We start from the raw sequence: 19,866 nt of genomic DNA, 5'->3' as shown, positions 1-19,866 counted from the left end.
GCAATTATCCAAAAGGAAACATAAAGAAAATCTTGAAAAAAAAATGAACAGAGCGTCACTGAGCTGTGAGACAATGCCAGTTAGTTCAATATACATGTATATTATGTACATGCACATGACTCCAATAGTCACACCAAAGGAGAGGAGCAAGAGAATGGAAAGAAAAAATATTTGAAGAAATAAGGGCAATGTTTGCATTTGTCTTGCTCTACCTGGTATTCCTATCAAGGCACCTGGTATATATTAGGTGTTTAATAAACATTTCTTGAACACATTTGCAGCAAAAAAAAATGACAACGAGTAAGAGATAAGCACCTGAGTGTTACTGCAACGTATTTAGGCCATCAGAGGACAAAAAAGGGGAATAATATGGAGAAAAGGCTTGGTAGAAGTGGCATGCCTTCAGCAGGGACCCACGAAATGGGTTCAACTGAGTGTGTACAAAGTTTGGAGACTAGGAAGGGATGAAGAAGGGCATTCCACACAAGAACAACACAAATGAAGATTTGGAGCCTGGCACAGTGGCCCACGCCTGTAATCCCAGCACTTCGGGAGGCCAAAGCAGGAGGACTGCTTGAGCTCAGGAGTTTGAGACCAGCCTGGGCAACATAGCAAGACCCCCATCTCTACTAAAAATTTAAAAATTTGCCAGGCATGGTGGTGCTTGCCTGTAGTCCTCGCTACTGGCAAGACTGAGACAGGAGGCTCTCTTGAGCTGTGATTGCACCACTGCACTCCAGTCTGGACAACAGAGAGAAACTCTGTCTCTAAAACAAACAAAAAGACTTGGAATCAGGAATAAATATGGTTGAAACTATACTATCTGGACTGAAGTGGTGGTTGCACTTAGTGGTAATGAGAAATGAAGTTAGTTGGATGAGTTAGGGTCAGAGTATGCAAGGCTTTAGAAATAGGAAACAGGAGAGAAACCATTGAAAGTTTCTGAACAGAACTTGTGATGATGAAATCAGAATTCAAGGGGAGAAAAAGGAGCATAGTGGTGGCATCCATGATGGATTTGGAGAAGAAAATACTAAAGGTGAATGGAAAGGGTGGACCAGGGGCAAACAGGTTATTAAAACAGTCCCATCATGAAGTGTTGAAATGCTGGATGTAAACACACCTACCACAGTATCAGTACAGACTAAGGGCTTGGATAAATGTTAGTCAAATCCAAGTACTAAAATTCTTCTTGGTTCGCGAAAATTTCAGAAGTGGCTCAAAAATCTGTAATGCATTAAGAATATTATTTGCTTCACAATATTTCATTTACTTAAGATTTTATAAGAATCAGCTGCTTATAAAATTGTTACTTTGTGGTGCACCAAAGCACCTTGTTCTCTCCCTCACCCAGATATGTTTCATGCTCTTTGTACTTTCCACCCCTTAACAGATTTGGAGGGAAGATTCAAGCCGTGGATTTTTAAATTTAAAGCAATGCTGTCACAAATTGAGAACTGACAACATGTCATTACACATTTAATTGCCACCGAATCCCAGAGTTTAAAAATTGTAAGGACCTAAGAGATAGGACCTCTCGTTGTACAGATGCGGAAACTGAGGCTGAGAGAGGGTAAGTGAACAGTCCCAGGTCACAGAGCTGCTAATGGGCAAGGTGGGACTAGAATCCAGGCTTGACTCCTCTACGCTGAGCCAAGGGTTCGAAGCGATTGGGATAAGGGAAGCCTGAGGCAGGGAACGAGAGTCAGGAAAGCAGCTCTTCCCAACCCTAGGAGGCCGGGGGACCTCGTCACCGCGGAAGGAGCGGAGCCAGGCCGACCTAAAAAGCCGCAAGTCCAGGTACCCTTACCCTGATGGCCGCGGCGACACACTCGGCCACCTTCCTGATCTCGCGATACTAGCCGGTACTCACTTTTCCGGCTTCCCCTAGGCCCCGCCCCCCCACCTCAGCCCTTCTGTCGTCATTTCCTGTGGGTCTGTAGGTTAAGGGAGAAGATGGCGGCGCTAGGGGAACCCGTGCGGCTGGAGAGAGGTGAGTGCAGCCGAGGCTCGGCGGAGGTGGGCGGAAGGGTTGGGGGAGTGCTGTGTCGCTGGAGGGGAGGAGGAGTGACCCAGGCTCTGAGATCCGGGCCACGCTGTCCCTTGTGCCGGCGCCAGAGGCCGCCGTTGTCTCTGTGCCTGGCTCTAGGAAGGGCGCTTACGGTATTTTGTCTGTTAACCGTAAGCCCTCCTCTGTTCACACGGACTGTTCCAAGGCACAGCACAACTAAACACAACCTGCCCGCTTCGCAGACACACGCCGCACACGCGCTCCCTTGGTGAGCACAGCAGAAGCAGCATTCGGAGACCCGTACACCCGAAAAGCAAACGTCACACACCCGGTTCGCACAGACTACACTCATTGCCTGTACAGCACGAGAACGGACACACGGTACAATTCAACAGAACCTCCTTTCCCCGCTGTTTGCACACAAACTCCTTCATTACTTTCTCCACAACCTCGCTTGTATTCGGGTTGGGGTATTTGCTAGCTTTTGTGCCCCTCCTAGAAATGGAGAGGTTGCTTTAAAAACAATCCTACTGACTTGGTCTTGGGAAGGAGGTTACGTAAGTAAGCCGAATAGTGGTAGATGCTAAAACACTTGCAGGTGCAGTGTTTTTCATTTCTTACAAACCCTACAATTGCAAACTGGTTGGCTGATTGCTTCCTAGAGCAGACTGTCAAGGAAAATAAAACCACCTCTGCTGAGTAATTAGAGATAGAGAAGCCTACGAAAATAACTGGCTATGCGCCTACCATGATTTCCAGCATTCCAGCGTTTCCAGTCCTTTTACAGATTTCCAGCATTCCACTCTGTCCCTAAGTCCTTTATTTCAAACAATTTCAAGCATGCTTTTCATACACCAGCATTAGAAATCATTGATAGGAATTGAGAAGTACAAATAAACATTTTGAGTACTGGTGGTAAAAAAAAATGTATATGTAGGATGGAGACTGAAATTATATTGCACATATTAACATTTGCAATTAGTCTAAATATTACTATTGTTCCCTAAGAAAACACATTTTTAGAATTACTGTACTTAGAAAAACCTCTTTCCTAATGCCTTCCCACAAACAAATGTGCACTTAATGTTGCTGATTTGCTCTTTACCGTGTTCACCATTTGGAAGCCTCACTGTAAATGAGATTGTTTCCGTTAAGCCTATTAAAGCATCATTTTAGAGGACTAGCTACTCTGGGAAGACTTGCCGAGTTAGGCCTAAGTCTCTGACATCTTCCTCTTGAGCACAGTGGCACTGTGTTTTATAGATGGGAGCAAATCTGTTTGGTGTTAACAGGAGTAAGTTTTTTCTTTGAAAGCTAGTTAAGATTCTAACGTATTGGTCTTTTGTGTTTTTGTTGTTGCTGTTTGGAGACGTAGTCTTGCTCTGTCGCCCAGGCTGGAGTGCAGTGGCGCGATCTCGGCTCACTGCAACCTCTGCCTCCCGGGTTCAAGCAATTCTCCTGCCTCAGCCTCCCGAGTAGCTGGGACTGCAGGCGAACGCCGCCAAACCCGGCTGTTTTTTGTATTTTAGTAGAGACGGGGTTTCACCGTGTTGCCCAGGCTGGTCTCGAACTCTTGAGCTTAGGAAGTCCGCCCGCCTCGGCTTCCCAAAGTGCTAGGATTACAGGCGTGAGCCACTGCACCCGGCCGGTCTTTGTATTTTTAAATGCAACACAAAATGTGGAACTTCTGTGGCATTTAGTTTTGATAGTCTTGGCTTTGTTTTTTGCTGTTACAGATTTCTTTTCTGTTCTTCAGTAGAAGACTCCACCTCTTAGTAGGATGAATTACAGTCAGCCCTCCATATCCATGGGTTCCATATTTCAACCAACTGCAGATTGAAAATACTCAGAAAAAAATCGTGTCTGTATAGAACATGTACAGACATTTTTTTCTTGTCCTTATTCCCTAAACAATGTGATATAACAACTGTTTACGTAGCGTCAGATATTGTAAGTAATCTAGAGATTATTTAAAGTATAGAGGGGGGATATGCATAGGTTTTATGCCAATACTATATCATTTTATATCAGAGACTTGAGCATCTGCAGATCTTGATATCTGTGGTATCTGAAGAAGGTCCTAATGAATCCCCCACTGTTACCAAGACAGCTGTACTAGTGGTTGCCATTTAGCAGGGTAAGAAAGTCAGATTACATCACCTCTGATTCTTGTTTAGAATTCTAACAGACTCTATTAACAAACACTCCCAACGATCCTAAAGTAGAAAATCCTACAGTACAATTACAATACAGTGCCTGATCACATATGATGATTTAGAGTGCCTTCTAAATCATCAAACTATGATTTAATGAAACACAAATTTGAGCACATAGTAGGTACATTTTAGATTTAGTCAAAAGCATTTTACTTTTTTCCATTTTTTTCTTCACTGGAAATTTTTATATGGCTTATATATTATAACTTTATAAATCAAAATAATTGATGAACCAACAGTCCCCATGTATCGGTCATTCTGGTGATGGGAAATCAGAATGGTGAAGGTCTATTTGCTTCCATTGCATTTGATTAACTTTTTAAGTTTAAGCTTTCTTTACCTCAAATTTAAAAATCTGCTTTCTGGCCAGGCGCAGTGGCTCACGCCTGTAATCCCAGCACTTTGGGAGGCCGAGGCAAGCAGATCACTTGAGGTCAGGAGTTTGAGACTAGCCTGGCCAACATGGTGAAACCCTGTCTCTACTAAAAATACAAAAATTAGCTGGGCCTGGTGGCAGGTACCTGTAGTCCCAGCTACTCGGGAGACTGAGGCACGAGAATCACTTGAACCCTGGAGGCAGAGGTTGCAGTGAGCCAAGATCGTACCACTGCACCCCAGCCTCAGCAACAGAGGGAGACTCCATCTCAAATAAATAAATAAATAATCTTTCTGCCAGGTGTGATGGCCCAAGCCTGTAATCCCAGCACCTTGGGAAGCTGAGGTGGGTGGATCATGAAGTCAGGAGTTTGAGGCCAGCCTGACCAACAGGGTGAAACCCTGTCTCTACTAAAAATACAAAAATTAGCCGAGCATGGTGGTGGACTCCTGTAATCCCAGCTACTCAGGAGGCTGAGGCAGGAGACTTGCTTGAACCTGGGAGGCAGAGGTTGCAGTGAGTGGAGATTGCGCCACTGCACTCCAGCCTGGGCAACAGAGTGAGACTCCATCTCAAATAAATAAATAAATATCTTTCTTTACTACATTTATTCATAGTTTTCTATCTGCAAACACGAAGAAGGCCATACTAACTCTATAAAGAAAAATTTCCAGTCCTTGAGTGTAACGAAATCAGGAACTTCTACTTAAGTCAAAAGGAAGCAAAGCAATAATAGAATACTGGGCATTGTAGTACCAGGGGTACAAAAACAGTATACCAAAACAGTTTTTGGAAAAATAAAAGTAGAGATAGTTAACAGTGTTATAGCTGACTTCCTGAATCTTCTAAAATGTCTCAATTCATAAAACACTTATCCTCACACTTCTCAGTGAGAATTCCCTAATGTGCTTCATACATTTGTATAAATGTATACAACCTCTTAGGGTTTTTTTTGTTTGTTTGTTTGTTTTTGTTTTGTTTGGTTTTTTGTAGATGGAGTTTCACTCTTGTCACCCAGGCTGGAGTGCAGTGGCACAATCTCAGCTCACTGCAACCTCCACCTCCTGGGATCAAGCGCTTCTCCTGCCTCGGCCTCCCAAGTAGCTGGGATTACAGGCACCCGCCACCATGCCTGGCTAATTTTTGTATTTTTTTTAGTAGAGTTGGGGTTTCACCATGTTGGCCAGGCTGGTCTTGAACTCTTGACCTCAGGTGATCCACCCGCCTCGGCCTCCCAAAGTGCTGGGATTACAGGCATAAGCCACTATTCCCAGCCAATATTTCTTATGATTAATTGGTACCAATGTAACATAACACTTTTGCTTGCTAAGCCCTTTTTTATGTATTTTGTGGTTCAGTTGTTAACTGAACTCATAACTCTTCCTCATAACCCTTATATGGAAGGTACTGTTATTTCCATTGTACAGTGAAAGAAACTGAGACATAAGGACATCATGTAACTTGCCCAAGGTCACACAGGTGGTATTGAGACCAGATTGATAAAGCTAATTGTTTTTATTTTTCTTTTTTGTAAACATAAGTGTTGGAGCTTGTTTGAATTAACAGTGTTAATTAAGTTGAAAAAAAATCAGTTTATTTCATTTGTACTGCTTGTTTTTTGCATTTTTATGGTTGTTTTAAATGTGTCCCTGCCACTAACTGCATCTGCTCTCGAGTGGTTATCTACCTATGTATCATGTTTCTTTCGAGGAATGACCAGTGATTTTACTAGCTTATAGTGCCTTGTACTGTTCAGTGCTTTGGTTACTAATAATAATTAGGTAAATTTTTATTGACTAGTTTCTGACAATATTGCTAGCTTTTCTGAAGCAGTACAATGTTCATGTATCGGTCACATTTGAGTCACAGTCCTTTCCGATGACATTTGGTATTTTGTGTTCAATTTGCCTGTGTTTCTCCAAGGTCTTATTTTATGCTTCTGTAATCTCAGTAGTTTTTCCTATCTACTGTAAAATTTAGTGTTCTTACATTTTACATTCTCACCCTCCATGTGTGTACACACACACAGTCTCCTTCCCACCAAATGTGCAAATTCAATGCTTTTTTTCCCCTCGATTGTCTGTATATTATTTGCCCTTGAGGAATGAATCCTAACTGCCCCACTGTTACATAGGCATTGAGAAAACCCTTGGAGAAAATTATCTGTGTGTGTGTTTAACTCTAGATATTTGTAGAGCAATTGAATTATTGGAAAAACTACAAAGGAGTGGAGAAGTACCACCACAGAAACTTCAGGCTTTGCAAAGAGTCCTTCAAAGTGAATTCTGCAATGCTGTGAGAGAGGTGAGTAAACATCATTAAAATTTACAAAAATTTGAGTTAATTAGGTCAGATAATACTCTAAATTTGGGTTCAACATTTCTTAAGAAAAACTTTAGAAAACATTAAAACCAGTCCCTCTCATTTTTGGAATTTCTGATAAAACCATTTTATAAAGATGCATAACTTTGCCTGAAATTTTAACTTCACAGAGAACTCAAGCATGGTATATTCTGAGATATAACTTTGGCTTTTACAGGTATATGAACATGTCTATGAGACTGTGGACATCAGTAGCAGTCCTGAAGTGAGAGCGAACGCTACTGCAAAGGTAAATTTTTTTGTTTTCCAAAAGTAAGAATTCTTCATAAATTAGAAGTTTAAAATATGGAGTTATTAAATTCATAATAAACTTACTTTGAAGACTAACATGTATCTTTCAAGCTACACCAAATTTCTCAAGTACTAAGAAATAAGACATTTGTTTCTATTGCCTTTACATAAATGCTGCATGATAAATAGCTTACATAAGCTATTTTATCATGCAGTTTAGATAATGCAATAGAAATGTACTTGCATACAATATGTATCATGCAATATATAATTGTGTTGTATATGTTATATATATGATACTATATAATATTCATTATACAAAATCTAATCAGAATTTTAAGATATGAATTACTATCCTCATCTTATTGATGAGGAAGCATGAGGTGATTTGCCGCAAACCACACAAATAGCATATGATAGAGCTGGGGTACTTCCCCGAGTTGATTTTTGCTTTCTTCTTTACATTATCTGCATTTCTGTGCCATTGTTTTCCTCAAATAATTTAGGTATTGACCTCACTATTCATGATAGGGGGTTTGAACAGGGTAATATCAGCAGTCGGTGACTTAAATTAATCATCAGCAGATAGTTTTTTATGGATAGTTACTGGCTCACAAAAGGAAATGGTGGATTCTTTGTTGAATACAAATACTTAAACATGTGGATATAGTTTATCAGTGTAGAAAAGACCAGAGAAACATGGTTTTAATTGCTGAGTTGTGTGAGTTTGATAGCCTACTGAATTTCTGAGCCTTAATTCCATTATCTGAAAAATGAGGCCTTTTTCAGAGCTTCGAAGATAACGGGTATTCAGTAAATCTTGATTTCTTCAAAGATAACGGGTGTTCAGTAAATCTTGATTTCTTTCCTCCTCCCCATTTTTGTGATCCATCACAAAAAAATGGTACTAGATAATTACCCTTTAAAGCAAAGTGAAACAAAATCTCAACTTTATAATTAGTTTGGATTAGTCTAAAGTTGAGCTTTAAAGAAGATACGGCTCTGTTTCATCTTCTGTGGGGATTTTTAGTTGTGTCTAGTTAACTAAAGCAACAAAACATTCAGATTGGCTATATGTACCTCTCTTTTTCTCAATATTGAGTTATTTCTTGACATCTTAGATATTTAGTATATAGTACAAATAGTACAGAAGCCAAAATGATTACATATAAGGGCAACTCCATGTTGATTATATAGGTAGGTTGTGTCCTGCACAAAGGCTCCTGAAGGAGTTGGGAGATCCAGATCTAAAGCCCAGGGCTGCTAGCATGCTGGGGAAGGGGTTTTCCTCCTTACCATGTACAATATCAGTCTGCCCAGTAAGTCTGCTTGCCAAGCCCTGCGCATACAGGACTGCACAAAAGAGTGGGCACTGAATGGGCTAGGAATGACCTAAAAAATCATAACAAAAAATCGTAACATTTCCTGCATAACTCGAAATTATTCATTTGTCGTCTCTAAAATACCTTCTGTTTAGCTTACCTTCTCAGAATCACCAGTGAATTTGTGAGCATTCAGACGTCAAAAATACGTGCTCAAAAGTAGTTTTTAAAAAGAGACAAAAGAGGCCAGGCGCAGTGGCTCACGCCTGTAATCCCAGCACTTTGGGAGGCCAAGGCGGGCGGATCACGAGGTCAGGAGATCGAGACCATCCTGGCTAATGTGGTGAAACCCCATCTCTACTAAAAAAAAATACAAAAAAATTAGCCGGGCGTGGTGGCAGGCGCCTGTAGTCTCAGCTACTCAGGAGGCTGAGGCAGGAGAATGGCGTGAAGCCAGGAGGTGGAGCTTGCAGTGAGCCAAGATCACGCCACTGCACTCCAGCCTGTGCGACAGAGCGAGACTCCATCTCGGGGGGAAACAAAAGATGAAAGAACTGAAGTAAATAAAAGTCATATTTTTAATATGTAAAACTTTCTTTCAGGCTACTGTTGCTGCATTTGCTGCCAGTGAAGGACATTCTCATCCTCGAGTTGTTGAGCTACCAAAAACAGAAGAGGGCCTTGGATTCAATATTATGGGAGGCAAAGAACAAAACTCTCCAATCTATATATCCCGAATAATTCCAGGTGGAATTGCTGATAGACATGGGGGCCTCAAACGTGGAGATCAACTCCTCTCTGTTAATGGAGTGGTAAGGATGAATTTTATTTCTATTTGTAGTGATCTGTTGTGACCACCTGGGGGCGTATTTGAGTAATAGGAGAAACCTAAGAAACTTGTGGTTTAGAAATGCCTTGAGGGAATCCTAGGCAGTACTATTAATACAGTGATCCTTTTTTTTAAGCACTATAAGTGTATTTTGCAGTGTAAATTAGCAGTGCTTAATGTCATTTTTATGACATAAGCTCTTTATTAAAGGCAATACATTAAATTAGAAGTCTACCCTCATTTTACTCTTATAAAATGCCAATTGCTTGATCTACTGAAATAATAAGGCATATAGATTAATATGCTAATTATTTGGAACTTAAAAGCCAGCTTTTAGACTATAAACAGAATATGATGTAAGAGAGGATTTCATATAGATTAAAATGGTAAGGCAGGATTATTTCTTAGTTTTGTAATGTTGGAATAATATAACATTAAAACTTTTCTTCATTATATATATTGTAAACATTTTTGCATTTTGAGTTACTTTCAAAACTTAGATATTAGTGTATGGTTGGTTGTTTTTTTTTCCCCTAGAGTGTTGAAGGAGAACATCATGAAAAAGCTGTAGAACTGCTGAAAGCCGCACAAGGAAAGGTTAAATTAGTGGTACGATACACACCCAAAGTCTTAGAAGAAATGGAGTCGCGCTTTGAAAAAATGAGATCAGCAAAACGCAGGCAACAGACCTAATACATTTCAAAACTTGATATTTCATTTTGCGTTTTAGCTAGAGAAGTTTTCCTTGTGACTTACTAATGGCTGCAATGCCAATGATTGTAAGAAAACAAACAAATTTATCATGAAATTCTCCTTGTCATTTTATAAATGCCTATTTTAACATCATTTATGGTTCCAGAGATGCATACACTTTTTTCTGACAAGAAAAAGTAAAAGGTGATGAGGGCAATTCTGTCCTACTGTTTTTACAGGCCTTTTTCAAATGCAGATTTTGTCATAAAGTTGTTATAGATTTTTTAAAATGCTTTTTTAATATTAAAATGTACTTTTACATTCTTAATCTTTTTTTAGAAAGGAAAAGTTTTCTTCATTTAGCTGCTGATTTAAAAGTAAAGTTCTCCAATTCTTTTTTTTTGCTTACTCTATTTTTTTTAACCTGTGAAATTTCTTTACAGTTTTCCAAGAAATTAAGCATAACAGTCTCATCTACGGCAGTTCATTACACTGTCAATGTTAACATCATTGCTGCATTTTGTACTTTGAACACACACATAATATATATAACCAGTGGTAAATCATGACTCAGTACAGTGCAAGTTTTTTCACTTTTACTTAAACATAATATATAATGGATATTCATTTATACTGATTTATGAAAGTAAGTTTTTAAACACTGAAACAATCATTGCTAAAATACATATTCTTAATATTTGAGCATTGAGGCAAGAGGATGTAATTGATAGCATTACTTATTACATCCCTATTTATGTTCAACCGTACATCAAATTATAAATGCAAAACAGGTTCAGATTTCATCTTTTGTGATTTCTTTTAAATACTATTCATTTTTATTTAAATGCACAGTATTTCCCCTATATTTTAGTCCTTCCATTCCTAGAGACAAACCAGTTATTTGGTGGTGGGAAGTAGCTGAAGCAAAGAAGGAAAAGTAATACCTTTAACCTCACTAGCTTCAAGAGTAGACATTCTTACTAGCTCAATTTAAATAATTGATTTTAAATAGGAAGAAAAGAGGATATATTTAAGATACATAGAAATTATGATGTGAAGTATTCATGAGAATCTGTAGATTCCATCAAAATAAGTAGGAACTCATACTAAAATTGTTGGATTTAAAGAGGCAACTTTTGTTTATGATTCAAATATGGGAATTTGAGAAATATTTCATTTGTCCACTGGATGTCACTATTTTACTAAAAGGCAGCTATTAGTGTGGGACTGTGACTGAGGTCTTAAAGACTGAAAGAGTTGGGGTTCATTTTCTGTTACAACTTACAGGAACATTTGTACTTTAAGAAAAATTTAAGTGACAAATGTTAGAAGATGATGGATTGAAAAATATAAGTAATTTGGCATATTGACCCTATATAAAAAAGTGGGCATTTTGTAACATTCCTTCAGGAAGAATAGAATTGTATGCTTTTTTCTGCATGTTTGTGATCACTGTGAGTCTCAGATGATTATTCCAGTTTTCAATGATTTTTCAAAATAAAAGTCAATCAGCATTGTTATTTATCATTAAGGTATTGAACACTGGATTGCATGGTTGAATGTGTCTTTAATCCACTACAAAATGTGCTTGTTATTGATAGGATCATGTTGTTAAATTGTAAATTTTCAAAATTAATTGATGTTTTAAAAATGTTGAGACCAAAGTAGTATAGAAGTATGGACTTAATTTAATTGTAAAATTATTAGAGGTATTTGTTGTAGAGCTTTATATATTAAAGAGAGGTATTGGTGCATATAAAAACAGTAATATTATTGTTATGCTTGTATTCTTGCATTTCAGGGTAAGTAAACCCTGAAGAAATCTTATTTTAGTATAGCTACAGCTGCAGTAGCTTTTAAGTATGTATCAACATTTCATTATAAATTATAGCTTCCTGGTTCTGTGTCTCAGCTGTTTCAGAACTTTCAGCCAAGTTAAATCTTTTTTGGTGTTGAAACTTTTAGTAAGTTGAGTAAGCTATTTTTTTCCCTACGGTAATCCACAATCTGTTCTTTGTGTGGGTTGACACCTATTTATAATTCTTAAAATAAGGGTAGCTCAAAGGAGCCAAGTACAGTAGTTTAGCTTGCTACTGTTGAGCATGAATAGCAGTAGGTTGTTTTCATTAATGCAGTTTTCATAATGTATCCCAGAATTTTAAATCTTGACCATAGAAAAATACAGTCATTCATTGGCAAAGATGTACAGTGGTGGTTTAGTGCAGTGAGGAAATGATGGGAATTTTTATCTTAGAAATGGATGATTCGTGAATAAAACTAGGTACATAGTAAGTGTATGATAGATGTTTGATTTGTAAATTACAAATATAAATTATCACCCCCATTTCCATTTATTTTCTTGATATATCAAAATGTGTTGACTTAGTGATTCTCAATCTTAGCTACATATTAGCCTGGCAGAGCTTTAAAAAATTGATACCTGGGTCCTATTCCATAACAACTAAATCAAAATCACCCTTTTTTTTTTTTTTGTAAAGCTTTCCAGGTGGTTCTAAAGGACACCTAGGGTCAATAACCCATTATAAAATGATCTGATTACACTGGACACTCTTAGGAAGTATCAAAATAGAACAGTTCAATTTGCAGCTACTTAATGATTAATTACATTTCTTAGGTTTTTTTTTTGTTTTTTTTTTGGTTTGTTTGTTTTTTGTTTTAAAAGAGACAGGATCTTGCTTTGTCTCCCAGGCTGGAACACAGTGGTGTGATCATAGCTCACTGCAGCCTGAAACTCCTTGGCTTCCACCTCAGCCTCCCAAAGCATTAGGATTATAGGCGTGAGCCACTGCACCTGGCCAAGTAATTTCTTTTAGGAATAAAAGGTACTTGGCATTCCTTATTTGGGAAGTAATTACAGTCTTATCTTTTTTTTTCTTTTTTCTTTTTTTTAATAAAATCTACCAGTAATTTAAATGTGAGCTTTTTATGTCTGTCATCATTCTGCCCCCTTTGCCTTTAAAACTTACAAAAATACGTGTTTGTTATTTGAGAAAGCATGTTTAAAAATTGCAGATGAGAAATATTGTCGTTAATAATTATGTACTGTCTTAATGTGGGCACTTCATTTGTTAGTATAATACTAGATAATAGCAGCCTAGTTCTTTAGGATTTGACGATTCAAATTTTTTTTTTGTTTTTTGTTTTTGTTTTTTTTTGAGACAGAGTCTTGCTCTGTTGCCCAGGCTGGCGTGCAGTGGTGTGATCTCGGCTCACTTCAGCCTCCGCCACCTCAAGGCAGTTCAAGCAATTCTCCTGCCTCAGCCTCCCGAGTAGCTAGGACTACAGGCGTGTGCCACCTCTCCCGGCTAATTTTTTTGTATTTTTAGTAGAGACGGGGTTTCACCGTGTTAGCCAGGATGATCTCGATCTCCTGACCTCGTGATTCGCCCGCCTCGGCCTCCCAAAGTGCTGGAATTACTGGCGTGAGCCACCATGCCCAGCCTCAAATATGTTTTTAAAAAATATCATTGTCCTCCTCCTCTTAAGATTTTTTTAAGTTATTTTGCTCAAGTACTTAAGTAGTCTGGCTCAAGTACTTTGTTTACAATTAAAATGGATATTATAGCATTTAATAGAAGAAATGGTTATGGCTTATCCAAAAAGAATGTCAGCATGACCTGGTGTAGACTTAAAAAACTACATGTTTGTGAATATTTTATAATGTGGAATGATCATTGAAATATCAAGGATTCTAGTAATTGTATTTCCTGAATAAATGTATGTTTATGAATTTTCTAACTTACATTTTGTTGTGTCCTCTGCCAACAATCTGGTTTTATAATTGTTGTCTAAAGTTTGCTAGTAGTGTTTCTTCAAAGGTTATTCCAGGTATGGTTAAGTAGTGAGAAAAATCACTTATTAATTTTCAAGAACTTTGAGACTAATTTGTATTGACTCGGTTTTTTAAAATAACTGGCAAATGCTATGCTTCTACTTTTAAAATTTGTGGTAATACCCAGAATGGATGTAAAATAACATTTTTCAATAGATTACTTCATTTATCAATTTAATTCTGATTTTAAGGCTTATTTAAAATAAATTTGTATGAGTTATGTCCTCGTTCTTTGGATTTGAAAAAAGTTGATATAACTACACAATAGATAACGTTTATGAAAGGTATGTATAAAAAAACATAATTCCTGGTGGCTGCTGAAATGAAACTTTGAATTTCTATATTTTGCTTTGTCTTTCATAAAATTTAAAGAAAACATTTTCTTGTGTTATTTCAAGAGCGGCAGTATGACGTGATTGAGAGCACAGATTCTGAAGCCAAACAACTCTGGTTTCAATCCCAGTTCCACCATTACCGTGTGTCACCTTAGACAGGTTGCTTGATTTCTTTGTGCCTTAGTTCCCTCACCTGTCATTTGTTAATAAGAATGCCTGTAAGTGTCATGCCATTTTCTGTAAGGCCCTTAAAAAGGTGCCTGGCATAGTAAATACTGTTTGTGTTTGCTTTTGTTCATGTAAAATAGCTTCAGAACCTTATGAGCTAAAGGAAATAATTCTGGTCAAAAAATTAAAATTAGCAAGTTTTTATTTTTGGTATTTAGAAAACAACCTTTATGCTTAAAAACTTTAGAAGAATAAGATTCATAAGAAATTATCAAATTTATATTTTGATCAAAGAAACTCGGAATTTTTAAATTGGAGCTTTGAGGATTGAAGCCATATTCTAATGAAAATCATTGGAAAATAAGTCCAAGTAAGGATTTGTTAAATTAACCTTTAAGGTGATGACCTAGGCATAGAGACAGGAGACTACTGGACTAGGTGTTAGACAGTCCAAGGCATCACCACCATTAACTTTAAAAAAGTGTGGAAATGTGCCACACAGCCGAGGAACAACAAAAAGCATTTAGTGTTAGGACTCAGTTTTTTTCAAAACTTTAGTAGACCAGAGTATCCATTCACTAAATTTTTCTATTCGGGTTTTGTTATATTCACTATTTTGATTATTCTGATTTTACTATAATGAATTGCTGACCCATATTTTGTACGTTTACTTATTAGTGGCAGATAATCTCCCTGATGGAATCTTGAAGATTTACTTTATATACAGGGCAAAAGGTAAATTCATACAGAACCCATTTGTCAATTTTATTTTTTGAATTTTAAATTTTAAAGGGACAAATACTTCATTTTAACAAGGTATATGTAAGGCCTCTCCTAATTCTCATGAACAATACCTATTGGTTAGAATGAGAAATCATCCACACTTTCTTACCTAGAGACAACTTTAAAAACACCAAATCTTTTTTTTTTTTTTTGAGACAGGGTCTATTTGGACACCACAGTATGTATATTTAAAATCACCAAACATCAAGATTTGGTGTTTTGGGGCCAGGTGCAGTGGCTCACACCTGTAATCCCAGCACTCTGGGAGGCCTGTAATCCCAGCACTCTGGGAGGCCGAGGCAGGTGGATCGCTTGAGCCCAGGAGTTTGAGACCAGCCTGGGCAACATGGCAAAACCCCGTCTCTACTAAAAATACAAAAATTGAGGCCCAGCATAGTGGCGCACACCTATAAATCCCAGCACTTTGGGAGGCCGAGGAGGGTGGATCGCTTGAGGGCAGGAGTTCAAGACCAGCCTGGCCAACATGGCGAAACCTCATCTCTACTAAAAATACAAAAATTAGCGGTGCATGGTGGCATGTTCCTGTAATCCCAGCTACTTGGGAGGCTGAGGCAGGAGAATTGCTTGAACCCAGGAGCCAGAGGTTGCAGTGAGCTAAGATTTCACCACTGCACTCCAGCCTAGGTGACAGAATGAGACTCTTGTCTCAATCAATCAGTCAATAAATAAAAGTACAAAAATTAGCTGGGTGTGGTGGCACGTCCCTGTAGTCCTAGCTACTGGGGAAGCTGAGGCTTTCATGAGAATTGCTTGAGCCCCGGAGGCAGAGATTGCACTGAACCGAGATAGCATCACTACACTCCAGCCTGTGCAACAGAGTGAGACCCCCATCTCAAAAAAAAAAAAAAAAAAAAAGATTTGGTGTTTTTAAAGTTTGTCTCTAGGTAAGAAAGTGTGGATGATTTCTCATTCTAACCAATAGGGATAGAAATTTTAGCCCCTGCAGCAGGTAAGTTTCCTGTATATGGCAGTTACTGAAAGTAATTCATTTCATCAGAGGGTATTAAAAACCCAAAACTAATTTTGTGTTTGTTTTTTATTTGGCAAAGAAATGCAATAAAACCATGAAGTAGGAAGTTATTACTGGTATCTCTTAAATGACATAATTTTGAGCCCAGACTTTAAATGATATCTAACCTTTGTGTTTTACAGTGTTATGGGTTGAACTGTGTTCCCCTAAGATAGGTTGGAGTCCTAACCCCCAGTACCTCAGAATGTGACCTCATTTGGAGATAAGATCTTTACAGAGGTAATCCAATTAAAATGAGGTCATTAGGGTGGGCCCTAATTCAGTATGGCTAGTGTCCATATTTTTTGAAAAGTTGGGAGAGATTTGAACACAGACGCACACCCAGGGAGAACACCATGGGTAGATGAAGGCAAAGATTGGGGTGATGCTTCTACAAATCAAGAAATATTGAAGATTACCAACAAACTACCAGAAGCAAGAAGAAAGGCATAGACCAAATTCTCCCTCACACTTAGAAGGAACCAAGTCTCCTGACACTTTGATCTTGGACTTAACAGCCTCCAGAACTGTGAAACAATTAACTTTCACTTAAGCCACCCAGTTTGTGGTACTTTGTTATGCCAGCCCTAGAAAATTAATATGTGAGAGAATCCACCTTTCAGCGGCATCACTACCAAAACTGGGTACAGAAGCAAAATTAAATGTGGGTTCTCCAGTGTGTGATAAAAACATTCCAGTAGAAGTGGCTTTGGCTAAGAAAGGATGAGATTCCTGGCCCTTGGGGATGAGGAGAATGCTGGTTTCTTTGCTTTCTGTGGTTGAAATGCTTCCTTGGATACCTGTGCAGCTGTGTAACTGAGCTTGTGCCTCCACGTTGGCCCCCTGGACTCATGAGCACCTAAGCACCTAGCCGTTTCTTCACTTTAGGTTGTCAGTTACTGCATGGATGCGTCTTAACTCCAGGACTCGTCAGGAGTTGGTATCGTCAGGGCATTGTCTCCTTCAGCACTGAGAGTAGTTTATGCAGCAGTCCTTGCTCCAGCTGGGTGAGATGAGGATTTGTCTTTGACATGGGACATTCAGCCTGTAAAGGTTTGTACAGGTTCCTTATGATCCATGGGCCTGGTACCAAGCATTAATTAAGCCAGAACCAATTGTGTTGCTCCCTTTTTAAAACTCTGCATTGTACTTAGGATAAAATCCAAATACCTTGCCATGACCTCAAAGGTTCTGCATAATCCCTGCCCTACTTCCTCTCAGGCCTCATCTCAGTCCACTGCCCTACTTGTTCTGCTCCACAGCCTATTCCCTTGCTGGAAGGCTTCCCTCTGGTTCTTCCACTAACTGGCTGCCCCTCATTCAGGTGTCAGCCAAAGTTGCGTTGCCTGTTAAGTTCACCATCTAAAGGCTGATTCCTCATCCTTTAACATGGCAACACCTTGTCGTTTTTGTTTTTTGGGGTGTTTTTGTTTTTTTGAGAGACAGTTTCGCTCGTTTCCCAGGCTGGAGTGCAATGGCATGATCCCAGCTCACTGCAACCTCCGCCTCCCGGGTTCAAGAGATTTTCCTGCCTCAGCCTCTCAAGTAGCTGAGATTACAGACATGCCACGATGCCCAGCTAATTTTGTATTTTTAGTAGAGATGGGGTTTCACAATGTTGGACAGGCTGGTCTCGAACTCCTGACCTCAGGTGATCCACCCACCTCGGCCTGCCAAAGTGCTGAGATTACAGGCATCAGCCACCGTGCCCAACCAACACCTTGTTTATATTAACATGCTTGTGTCTTTTCCATTAAAATTTAAGTTGCATGACAGCAAGAAGGACACGACTGTACCCCCATTACTTAACACAGTGCCTAAAACGGTATGATGTCTTGTTATACCTTGTTGAATTGACTGGCTTTCCATAATTCCACAGGTAGATCAATAACTTATATTGGCACTGTATAAACACAATGATGTGTGTATCAGGTAGACACAGTATTTATCAACTGATCTTGATGTTAGATGTCCTAGAAAGGATCAAAATACTATAGGGACAATACCCTTGTCAATCTTTTATTACCTTGCTCCATTAACATGCCAAGTACCATTTGTGGAGGACAACAATGAAGGTTACTTTCATCTTTTATGTAAAACTGTTCCAACTAATGTTAATAGTAGATAAAATTTGTACAGTAACACCTAATTTTTAAAAATAGAACAAAGATTTTCTTTGGGTATTGCCACAACCAAAATTAAATGAAAAATTGTGTACTGCTAACCAAGACCTAATTTTTAAAATGTCTATTGTGTAATTTTAAATAAAAAATAACAAGGCTGGACACAGTGGCTCACACCTGTAATCCCACTACTTTGAGAGGCCAAGGCAGGCAGACCGTTTGAGCCCAGAAGTTGAGGACCAGCCTGGGCAACATGGTGAAACCCTGTCTCTACAAAAAATACAAAAGTTAGCCAGGCATGGTGGTGCACACCTGTAGTCCCAGCTACTGGAGAGGCTGAGGCAGAGAATCAGTTGAGCCTGGGAGTTCGAGGCTGCAGTGAGCCCTGATCGTGCTACTGCCCTCCATCCTGGGTGACAGAATGAGACCCTGTCTCAAAAAATAACAGCAATGACATAGTGTAGTGGAAGAAACACTGGACTTACATTCCAATTATGCCATTAACATATGATCCTTAAGTCTTCATTTTCTTGATTGTATAATAAGGGAGGTTGGTAGTTTCCAATCTGGTTTCATTTCTTTATTCCTTAGAAAAGTCCTCTCTTCAGCCAAAGCCTAATATATAGAACTACGCTGGTTCAAGAAGGCTGTCCCCTTCAACCCCCCTTCCCATGCTGCAGACAGGAGTTCCTCTGAGCACAGTTTGAAAACCTTTGTCCTAGAGCTGGGGTCCCCAGCTCCATGCCGCAGATCTGCTAGGATCTGGTAAATCTGTTAGGAAGCAGGCTGCACACCAGGAGGTGAGTGTCGGGAGAGCAAGCATTATCGCCTGAGCTCCGCCTCCTGTCAGATCAGCAATGATGGCGTTAGATTCTCACAGGAGCGTGAACCTTCTTGTGAACTGCGCATGTATGCAAGGGACCTAGGTTGCCCACTTGTTGTGAGAATCTAATGCCTGATGATCTGAGGTGGAACAGTTTCATCCTGAAACCATCCCTATCTCCCTGTGAACCACAGCCTTCCCCCGCAACCCCGGTGGAAAATATTATCTTCCACAAAACCATTCCCTGGTGCCAAAAAGGTCAGGGACCAGTTTAAAGTCCATTCCTGTTCTAAAAGTGCAATAACATTAACACGCAATTGGTTTGATGTGAACTATTTTGTATCATGTAATGACATATAAGCTAGTTTATGCACAAAGGGGGTATTTTCTAAAATATCAGAAATATTGATAATCATGCATGGCTGCCTTTCATAAAGCATCTACTAAGCACTGCATCTAATCCTTATAACCCCCCAATAAGATGGGTGTTATTCTGTTTCACAGAATCAGGAACACCAAATAGTTTATTCATAATTACACACTTACACTGACTCATGGACCAGATTCTAATCCCAAGTTTATTTTCAAAACCCATAATTTTCCCCCAATACCACACTGCACTTTTAGCAAGATTTTCTCTCTCATTCATTTTATTTTATTTTTTTAGGTTTCTTGTTGGATTTGTTGTGGT

General features: G+C 38.9%; 1 protein-coding gene and 1 long non-coding RNA gene across 6 annotated transcripts in view, besides 3 other annotated features; one reads left to right on the top strand and one right to left on the bottom strand.

The window, feature by feature from the left end:
• BDNF-AS (BDNF antisense RNA) overlaps nucleotides 1–1,857 on the bottom strand; it is a 191,320-nt gene extending 189,463 nt beyond the window's left edge. For all 5 annotated transcript variants that reach the window (NR_033312.1, NR_033315.1, NR_033313.1 and 2 more), the window contains exon 1: nucleotides 1,811–1,857. This is a non-coding gene — a long non-coding RNA (BDNF antisense RNA). The remainder of the gene's footprint in view (nucleotides 1–1,810) is intronic.
• Nucleotides 1,180–2,379: an enhancer, noted in NCBI's record as "CDK7 strongly-dependent group 2 enhancer chr11:27527877-27529076 (GRCh37/hg19 assembly coordinates)". NCBI's record gives its function as "activates an origin of replication core promoter dependent on BRD2, BRD4, P300/CBP, MED14 and CDK7 cofactors, with strong dependence on CDK7, by STARR-seq in HCT116 cells {active_cell/tissue: HCT116}" and the evidence as "EXISTENCE:reporter gene assay evidence [ECO:0000049][PMID:35650434]".
• Nucleotides 1,534–1,823: an enhancer, noted in NCBI's record as "active region_4545". NCBI's record gives its function as "activates an Ori minimal core promoter by ATAC-STARR-seq in GM12878 lymphoblastoid cells {active_cell/tissue: GM12878}" and the evidence as "EXISTENCE:reporter gene assay evidence [ECO:0000049][PMID:35858748]".
• Nucleotides 1,894–2,023: an enhancer, noted in NCBI's record as "active region_4544". NCBI's record gives its function as "activates an Ori minimal core promoter by ATAC-STARR-seq in GM12878 lymphoblastoid cells {active_cell/tissue: GM12878}" and the evidence as "EXISTENCE:reporter gene assay evidence [ECO:0000049][PMID:35858748]".
• Nucleotides 1,940–14,291, top strand: LIN7C (lin-7 cell polarity scaffold C). The gene is made up of 5 exons (NM_018362.4): nucleotides 1,940–1,993; nucleotides 6,789–6,907; nucleotides 7,143–7,214; nucleotides 9,141–9,350; nucleotides 9,905–14,291. The coding sequence occupies exons 1-5, from the start codon at nucleotides 1,957–1,959 to the stop codon at nucleotides 10,058–10,060; spliced, it is 594 nt and encodes a 197-aa protein (NP_060832.1). The 5' UTR covers nucleotides 1,940–1,956; the 3' UTR covers nucleotides 10,061–14,291.
• Nucleotides 14,292–19,866: the final 5,575 nt, after the last annotated feature.

This window comes from Homo sapiens, chromosome 11 (genome assembly GCF_000001405.40).
Source record: "Homo sapiens chromosome 11, GRCh38.p14 Primary Assembly".
NCBI classification, from domain to species: domain Eukaryota; kingdom Metazoa; phylum Chordata; class Mammalia; order Primates; family Hominidae; genus Homo; species Homo sapiens.
This window is presented reverse-complemented; position numbering and strand designations above follow the sequence as displayed.